Source organism: Homo sapiens, chromosome 7 (assembly GCF_000001405.40).
Source record: "Homo sapiens chromosome 7, GRCh38.p14 Primary Assembly".
Classification (NCBI taxonomy): Eukaryota; Metazoa; Chordata; class Mammalia; order Primates; family Hominidae; genus Homo; species Homo sapiens.
Window position 1 is genome coordinate 98414719 of NC_000007.14, and position 9799 is coordinate 98424517.

General features: G+C 47.2%; 2 annotated features.

Moving 5' to 3' along the window:
• Positions 3635-4834: an enhancer, noted in NCBI's record as "P300/CBP strongly-dependent group 1 enhancer chr7:98047665-98048864 (GRCh37/hg19 assembly coordinates)". NCBI's record gives its function as "activates an origin of replication core promoter dependent on BRD2, BRD4, P300/CBP, MED14 and CDK7 cofactors, with strong dependence on P300/CBP, by STARR-seq in HCT116 cells {active_cell/tissue: HCT116}" and the evidence as "EXISTENCE:reporter gene assay evidence [ECO:0000049][PMID:35650434]".
• Positions 4204-4364: a silencer, noted in NCBI's record as "fragment chr7:98048234-98048394 (GRCh37/hg19 assembly coordinates)". NCBI's record gives its function as "represses an EF-1alpha promoter that drives an FKBP-Casp9 reporter gene in an ReSE screen in K562 erythroleukemia cells {active_cell/tissue: K562}" and the evidence as "EXISTENCE:reporter gene assay evidence [ECO:0000049][PMID:32094911]".

Genomic DNA, 9799 nt, shown 5'->3' on the forward strand with positions numbered 1-9799 from the left:
AGAGAGAAAGAAAGGAAAGAAAGAAAAGGAAGAAAAGCGAGGAAGGAATGAAGGAAGGGAGGGAGGGAGGAAGGGAGAGAGAAAAAAGGAAGGAAGGAGAGGGAATGAAAGGAAAGAAAAAGAAAGAAAGCCTGGGCACAGTGGCTCAGGCCTGTAATCTCAGCACTTTGGGAGGCCGAGGTGGGCGGATCACGAGGTCAAGAGATCAAGACCATCCTGGCCAACCCCGTCTCTACTAAAAATACAAAAATTAGCTGGGTGTGGTGGTGTGTGCCTGTAATCCCAGCTACTTGGGAGGCTGAGGCAGGAGAATCGTTTGAACCTGGGAGGCAGAGGTTGCAATGAGCCGAAATCACGCCATTGCACTCCAGCCTGGCAACAGAGTGAGACTCTGTCTCTGTCTCGAAAAAAAAAAAAAAGGAAAGAAAGAAAGGAGAGGAAGGAATGAAGGAATGAAGGAGAGGGAGGGGGAGAGAGAGGAGGGCGAGTAAGCAGATATGATGATATCATGCAAGAAGTAACCAACATCTTGTAAGCTGCTCTGAGCAACAAACAAGACCAAGCATCATCAAGTTGAGATTGGCCGAGTGGAGAGACACATCCTGAGCCTCTCACAGCATCTGTGAGCATGGAGTTTTCTGTTCCTTTCATCTAAAACATTCCCAAATGACCTATACTGTTCTTAAAACCTGGGAGAATTTGCCATTGTGTTGAATTCAACATATACACACAGAACAAATCTTCAAGTGAAAAAAATTCAAATGGTGAGAAATGTTCTCCTGAGACTTTTCATACATTTAAATTTTTTCATTTTGGGGATGACCATATTTTGAGATAAAATGAAAGATCACGGGCTGCCAAATTCCAGTATGATTATGGAGACCAAAGGAGGGAAATGTTATTAAAATTGGGGTGCTCTTGAAAAACCTATTGTCTGTGAATTTATGTCCTTAGGCCACTTTCCAAAAGCACTTTCGTTTCAACGTAATCAAAGAACATCATTTTACACCCACTCTTCTAAGAAATAAATTTCAGAATCATTTTTCAAGGTTGGAAAATAGGAACCTTGTCTAGAGAAATCACTTTGCTTTTGAGTCACTGTTACTGCAAGACTTCCCACAAAATAACATTGACAATATCCTCAGAAATCCTTGAATAGTATTCATGCATTATTATCAGCTAAAATGATGATTATCTTTGGGCTTGCAATGGAGCAAATAATTCTTAGATCATTTCTCTTTTTCAAAAAATTCTTAACCTGTTGTGGTAGCTCATGCCTGTAATCCCAGCACTTTGGGAGGCCGAGGAGGGTGGATTGCTTAAGCCTAGGAGTTTAAGACCAGCCTGGGCAACACAGTGAAAGCCTGTCTCTACAAAAATTAGCTAGATGGGGTAGCACATGCCTGTAGTCCCAGCTACTTGGGAGGCTGAGGTGGGAGGATTCACTGAGCCCAGGAGGTTGAGGCTGCAGTAAGCCAGGATCCCACCACTGCACTCCAGCCTGGGCAACAGAGCAAGACTTTGTCTCAAAATACATAAATGCATAATAATAATATATTTTTCTGACATCAAGAGTTGGTCATATATATATGTGTGTGTGTGTATATATATGTGTATATGTATATATTTTTTATATGTAAAATATATATGTATATATTTTTTTGAGACACAGTCTCACTCTGTCGCCCAGGCTGGAGTGCAGTAATGTGATCTTAGCTCACCACAATCTCCACCTCCCGTGTTCAAGCAATTCTCTTGCCTCAGCCTCCCGAGTAGCTGGGATTACAGGCGCGTGCCACCATGCCTGGGTAATTTTTGTATTTTTAGTAGAGACGGGGTTTCACTATGTTGGCCATGCTGGTCTTGAACTCCAGCGATCCTCCCACCTTGGCCTCCCATAGTGCTGAGAATACAGACGTAAGCCACTGTCCCTGGCCAAGATTCTTTTTCTTCTAGCAAAGGCTTTCTTCTGAACACAAAAGGAGCTGAGATTTTGGCTGTTTACTCATGGCAAAATGACAGAAAGTCATTTAGATCTTTTTTTTTTTTTTTGAGACAGAGTCTCGCTCTGTTGCCCAGGCTGGAGTGCAGTGGCACGATCTCGGCTCACTGCAAGCTCCGCCTCCCGGGTTCACGCCATTCTCCTGCCTCAGCCTCTGGAGTAGCTGGGACTACAGGCGCCCGCCACCACACCCAGCTAATTTTTTTGTGTGTATTTTTAGTAGAGACGGGGTTTCACTGTGTTAGCCCGGATGGTCTCGATCTCCTGACCTCGTGATCCGCCCGCCTCAGCCTCCCAAAGTGCTGGGATTACAGGCGTGAGCCACTGCGCCCGGCCAGAAAGTCATTTAGATCTTATTTGGTTTTGAAACATTTGGATATTGACACTAACAGGTGAAATATGTGGGCGTGTGCATTTTCCCCTCAGCTCTGACTGCTGTTTGCTTGTTGAATAGACTCCTGAGTCTAGAATCAATGGATTCTTCCTCCTCATAGGCACAGCAGCTAGGACAAAGAGGTCATATTTTTGCCTGGAGATGTTTCCAGGCCCTGATAAGCCTGACATTGGCTACAACAGGAAACCCCCTTCCCAATTCTGAGCAGCTGGAGGCTGTGGCCTCGGTTCCTGAGGACTCCTTGAAACGGGACAGAAATGCAAAGACAGTGTCCTCATCCTGGTGGGAAAACAGTAGGTCTGGGGAATTCACTTCATGTCTCAGTGATAACATCCCCTGTGACTTGGAGTAAGTCACATCACGGTCATGTCCCCAGCTCCCTCTGTCCTGGTCAATAGGAGTTGGAGGGAGCAGTGCTCCAGATGACCTTGTGGGAGTGGTGAGAGGCCACGGTTTTCCTTGGGGGCATTTCCCCAAAGATGTGGCTGCCACCTACCAGGTGTGACTTCAGGTGAGTCGGAGTAGCAGCCAGGGCTGCCTGAGTGGAGGTCGAGGGAAAGTCACTGCCTGCATCGGCTGTCCCCTCCTTCCCCTTCAAGGCTGCCTTTGATCTCTGCTGTCAACAGAAATTGCAGCTCATGCTGAAGTTTTCTGGCCTGGTCTTTCACCCCCCACATTCAGTCTGGTTGGTCAAGTCACGTGTAATTTCCACACCCCCTCAAAGGTTGTGCAACTACCATGCAAATGCATTTCAAGTTTAGCTACCTTTTTTTTTTTTTAAACAGAGTGAACTTTCTTTCTTTTTTTATTTTTGAGACAGAGTCTCACTCTGTCACACAGGCTGGAGTGCAGTGGCATGATTTTGGCTCTCTGCAACCTCCGCCTCCTGGGTTCAAGCGATTCTCCTGCCTCAGCCTCCTAAGTAGCTGGGATTACAGGCGCCTGCCTCCACACCCAGCTAATTTTTCTGTATTTTTAGTAGAGACGGGGTTTCACCATATTGGCCAGTCTGGTCTCGAACTCTTGACCTCGGGTGATCCGCCCACCTTGGCCTCCCAAAGTGCTGGGATTATAGGCATGCACCACCGCTCCCAGCCAGCAGAGTAAACTTTCTTGAATGAATTTTCTTACTATTTAATTTATTTAATTATTTTATTTTATTTTATGATACATGCAGTCTTACTCTGTTGCCCAGGCTGGAGTACTATGGCACCATCATAACTCCCAGCGGCTTTGAACTCCTGGGCTCAAGCGATCCTCCTGAGTAGCTGGAACCACAGCTGCATGCCACCACCCCTGACTTTGATTTATTTCTGCTGGCCCATTTCTCTGCCTCACAATGGTAGAGAAATGCCTGAGTCACAGATAGGCTAGGTGACCAGGGAAGCTTGGAAGAAACCCCACAGGCCACCCAAGCTCCCAGGCTACCATTTGGAGATCGTTGCTTCGGAGGAATCCCGGGTCAGGCTGCTGGAATCTGGACTCACACTTCCGAAACCTCAGTGTTCTGATCGATGCTTTACAAGCTGGCTTTGCCCACCTCTCCCATGGAACACCCTTCCTCCACTGGTCTTTTGAAATTATTGCTGTTGGTCTGATTTTGCTGCCTCTGCTACCAGACGGTAAGCAAACCCTGCTGTCACTTTCTTGCTGTGTGTCCTGGTAAGATGTTTCTCCACATTGAGCCTTTCCCCCTGCTTATTGGCAAAATGGGAATGAGACACTGTGAGTTTTACCCACATGGTATAGACAGAGCCTGCAGGGTACTGGGTATGGGTCTGGGGATCTGAGATGTCCCTTCATCAGCAGCCTTTATATCAGCAGCCACACCTCCTCTGTAGGGTTTCACCCTAGCTTAGCTCTCTGAGGACCAGGTCTCCCCTGGAGCCACGTCCTTGTCTGCCAGGGTGGGTTGAGGCATGACTCACTATGACCAGAGACTCACCCTTGAGTCACTTGGATCAGGCAGCCCAGGACGGATGTGACGTCATCAGCAAATACAAGCAGTCATAGACACAGGGGCAGCTCTGTTTGTCTTGGAGATAAACTCCACCACCCAGGCTGGGCTTTGTGGAAAAGGTGAAGGACACCAGGATCATAGGTATTAACTTCCTATGATGACATGTTTGTGGAGGGACCGGAGAATCTCAGGGTGAGAAAATCGCTGGGGATTGTTCTGTAGCGGAGGAAGGTGTGTCCTTGGCTACTGTAGGGAAAGGTTGCCCTTACTTTGAGGTTGTGTTCTTATCTCCTCCATGTCTCTAACTTTTATAATCCAACCAGAGGATCTTCTAATAAATACTCTGCCTCCTATTACTGTATGTCTCAGCTAAAAGACATATCCTACTGGCCAGGCGTGGTGGCTCACACCTGTAATCCCACACTCTGGGAGGCCGAGGCGAGTGGATCACTTGAGGTCAGGCATTCGAAACCAGCCTGGCTAACATGGTGAAACTCCATCTCTACTAAAAACATAAAAATTAGCCAGGTGTGGGTGGTACATGCCTGTAATCCCAGCTACTCAGGAGGCTGAGGCAGGAGAATCTCTTGAACCCAGGAGGCGGAGGTTGCAGTGAGCCAGGATCGCACCACTGTACTCCAGCCTGGGCGACAAGAGTGAAACTCTGTCTCATAAAAAAAAAAAAAAAAATAGACATACCCTACCCGGGGAAGGTAGGGGCGGCTTTTTAGCCCCGGAGAGCTCATTCAACCCCTAGCCCTGTGCCTGCCTCCCTCGCTGGATAGCAAACTGAAACCAGTCTCCCCCATGTAAACCCAGGGCCCCCATGGGGCCTGGATTTTGTCATTTTCTTCGGGGTCATGTAACTCTTGGTTATACAACAAGAGAGGTGATGGGATTTCCTTCTAGGGTGGTGAAAAGGTTTTGAACTAGTCAGAGGTGAGGATTGTACAACATTGTGAATGTACTGGATCTCCCTGAATTGTACATTTTATTTTACTGATTTACTTATCTATCTGTTTATTTATTTTTTGAGACAGAGTCTCACTCTGTCGCCCAGGTTGGAGTGCAGCGGTGTGATCATAGCTCACTGCAACCTCAACCTCCTGGGCTCAAGTGATCCTCCTGCCTCAGCCTCCAGAGTAGCTGGGACCACAAGTGTGCAGCACTGTGCCCAGCTCATTTTAAAAATATTTTGCAAATCTGAGGTCTTGCTATGTTGCCCAGGCTGGTCTTAAACTCCTAGGTTCAAGCGATCCTCTCACCTCAGCCTCTCTAGTACCTAGGACCACAGGTGCACACTACTGTGCCTGGCTAATTTTTTGATTCTTTGTAGACATGAGGTCTCACTGTGTTGCCCAAGCTGGTCTCAAATGCCTTGACTCAAGCAATCCTTCTGCCTTGGTCTCCCAATGTGCTGGGATTACAGGCGTGAGCCACCTTACCTGGCTGAATTGTACATTTTATTCTCTCTCTCTCTCTCTTTCTATATATATGTGTATATATATATGTATATATGTATATATGTGTATATATATATGTATATATATGTATATATGTATATATGTGTATATGTGTATATATATAATTTTATTTATTTATTTATTTATTGAGATGGAGTCTCACTCTGTAACCCAGGCTGGAATGCAATGGTGTGATCTCGGCTCACTGCCACCTCTGCCTCCCAGGTTAAAGCGATTCTCCTGCCTCAGTCTCCTGAGTAGCTGGGATTACAGGTGTGCACCACCACGCCCGGCTAATCTTTGTATTTTTAGTAGAAACAGGGTTTCATCATATTGCCCAGGCTGATCTCGAACACTGTCTCAAAATAAATAAATAAATAGTGTGCTAAGTCAATTTCTCCCTCTCCACACCTGTCCAGTCTTATTCTTCCTGAGTGTGCTATATCAGAGTTGTGGATGGACGAAAGGAGAGGATCGTGACAGGCAGCAGCCCTGGAGTTCCACTCTCCCCTGCAGGGAAGGCTAAGGGGCCTGCCTTGCGCTACGGTTTCATAGAACTGGAGTCCGTCAAACCTTCCTGAGCCCTAGCGGTAGCCTGGGAGTCAGGAGGGGCAGGTGTGTGGGGAGCTGCGCTGACTGCCCACTGCGTCCACTAGATGGCGCGCTGGCTGCACAGGTAAGCGCGTCGCACCTTCCCTGAGTGGGTCCAGCTTTCGGGAATCACCTGCCGGTATAGCCAGCACCTGTTAGCTGATCCCCGCCCCAGGTCTGCTGCATAGACGAGGAGACTGAGGCACGAACAGGTGAAATGACTCAACTGTTATCTTTTTTTTTTTTTTCTGAGACAGAGTCTCACCCTGTTTCCGAGGCTAGGGTACTGTAACGCAATCACAACTCACTACGGCCTCATCCTCCTGGGCTCAAGCAATCCTCCCACCTCGGCCTCTCGAGTAGGTGGGATCATAGGTGTGCATCATCATACCCAACTAATTAAACACTTTTTTTTTTTTCCAGACAGGATCTCTGTTGCTGGAGTGCAGGGGCACGATCTCGGCTCGCTGCAGCCTCCGCCTCCCGGTTCAAACGATTCTCGTGCCTCAGTCTCTCAAGTACTGGGATTACAGGCGTGCACCACCAACCCCGGCGAATTTTTGTATTTTTAATAGAGATGGGGTTTCACCATGTTGGCCAGGATGGTCTTGAGCTCCTGGCCTCAACTGAGCCTCCCGCCATGGCCTCCCAAAGTGCTGAGACTGCAGGCATGAGCCACCACACCCAGCTAATTTTTGTATTTTTAGTAGAGACAAGGTTTCACCACGTTGGCCAGGCTGGTCTTGAACTTCTGGCCTCAAGTGATCCACTCATCTTGGCCTCCCAAAGTGGATCACTTGTTTCTGATCTGTTTTAGAGGTATCTTTGAGAGCCTGGTGAACGTTACAAGACCCCTTCTTAAAAATTTTTTTGAAATCAATTTCATGGGCTTCAAGAACACCACAGGAATAGATTAAGAACATGTCCTTCATGTTTGCAGTGTATATGTTTAATTGGGCTTTGGCCAGAGGCAGTGGCTCACGCCTGTAATCCCAGCACTTTGGGAAGCTAAGGCAGGAGGATCGCTTGAACCCAGCAGATTGAGATCAGCCTGGGCAACATAGCAAGACCCTGTCTCTAACAACCCCCGCCCCGCCCCCCACCCAAAATTAGCCAGGTGTGGTGGTGCGTGCCTGTAGTCCCAGCTACTCAGGAGGCTGAGGTGGGAGGATCCACTGAGCCCAAGAGGCTGAGGTTGCAGTGAGCCATGATCACACCACTACACTCCAACCTGGGTGACAGAGCGAGACCTTGTCTCAAAAAGAAAAAAAAAAGGAGTTTACATTAGCTCTTAACTTTCAATTCCAGATGTGAATATAATAATGTAATCCATCCACTTACTAAAAAAAATATTTACTGAGCACCTCCTATGTGCTAGGCACTGTTCTAGGTGCTGGGGATACTTGCTTTTGTGTAGTTTACCTTTTAAAGGGGGAAGACAAGTGATAAAAATGGACAAACTGTAGTAGTCATTAGTGCTGTTCTCTAAATATTTCAAATACTCCCCCTTCTTGGTACATGGTAGGATTTTTAATTTTTCTTTAATTAGTAGAAAATTTTTTTTGGCTGGGCATGGTGGCTCAGCTCATGCCTGTAATCCCAGCACTTTGGGAGGCCAAGGCAGGTGGGCCACCTGAGGTCAGGAGTTCGAGACTAGCCTGGTCAATATGGTAGACTAAAAACACACAAAAAAATAGCTGGGCATGGACCTTTAGTCCCAGCTACTTGGGAGGCTTAGGCAGGAGGATCACTTGAACCTGGGAAGCGGAGGTTGCAGTGAGCCAAGATTGTGCCATTGCACTCCAGCCTGGGCACTGCAGCGAGACTCCACCTAAAAAAACAAAAAACAAACAAACAAACAAAAAAACTGCAAACAACAACAAAAAAAAACACCAAACAAAAAAACCCACAAATTTTTAAATTTTCTTTTCTTTTTTTTTTTTTTTTTTTAAGTAGTGGTGAGGCCTTGCTATGTTGCTCAGGCTAGTCTTGAATTCCTGAGCCCAAGCGATCCTCCTACCTTGGCCTCCCAAAATTCTGGGATTACAGGCTTGAGCCATGGAGCCCAGTCATGGTACAATTTTACTTCCTGCTTCTCTTATGGTTGGCTGAAATCATGTGACCAGTTCTGGCCAATGAATTGTGAGGAGTGGTGATGCCATACTTCAGGGCTGAGCGTTTAATTGCTGGTGAGAGGCCCCCTAGAGCTTTCCCTCTGCCCCAGGCATGAGAACTGGAAATATTTAAAATGAAGTCTGTTTAATCAGTATAGATCCCTGAGTCATGAAGCATGAGTGAGAAATAAACATTTTTTTACATCACTGAGATTTTGGGGTTTGCAGTGTATGTTACAGCAGTATAACCTGGCCTGTTCTGACTGATGCAACAATAAGAAGATCATAGAATTTTATAGATTGCTAGGAGATTAGAGCAATGGAGAAAAGAAAATGTTGAGCAGGATCAATGGTATTGCTGGGGACTAGGTGTGGTGGCTCATGCCTGTAATCCCAGCACTTTGGGAGGCTGAGGCAGGAGGATTGCTTGAGCTCAGGAATTCAAGACCAGCCTGGACAACATAGCAAGGCCCCATCTCTAACAAAACCCAAAAATAACCGGGCATGGTGGTGTGCACCTGTGGTCCCAGCTACTCAGGAGCCTGAGGTAGGAGGACGGCTTGAGCCAGGAAGGCTGAGGCTGCAGTAAGCTGTGTTTGAGCCACTGCACTCCAGCCTGGGCAACAGAGCAAGACCCTGTCTCAAAAAAAAAAAAAAAAGGGACGGAAAGGGTGGAGGGGAAGGAAGATGGAATGGTGAAGATGTGATCAAGGTGGGCTTCTTTGAGAAAGTAATATTTGAAAAGGAAGAAGGCAGTAAGCTGTGCAGGTACCTGGCGTGAAGGGGGTCCCAGGCAGGGGAGCAGCCAGGGATACACCAAAGGTTGGAGGTGTGTCTGATGTATTCCAGGAAGATCAAGCGGGTGGTGGGTGAACCAGGTGAGAAGTGAGGTCAGAGAAATAAGAGGGGCCAGGTCATGTGGAGCCTCATGGCCACGGGAGGATGTCACCATGTTTTCGGCGTGAACTTGGGAACCATGGTAGGGATTGGAACCCAAACATGACATGATATGATTTATTTATTTATTCATCCTGAGACAGAGTTTCGCTTTTTTTGCCCAGGCTGGAGTACAATGGCATGATCTTGGCTCACTGCAACCTTCTCCTCCCGGGTTCAAGCCATTCTCCTGCTTCAGCCTCCCAAGTAGCTGGGATTACAGGCATGCGCCACCATGACCGGCTAATTTTATATTTTTAGTAGAGATGGGGTTTCTCCGTGTTGGTCAGGCTGCTCTTGAACTCCCGACCTCAGGTGATGCACCCGCCTCGGCCTCCC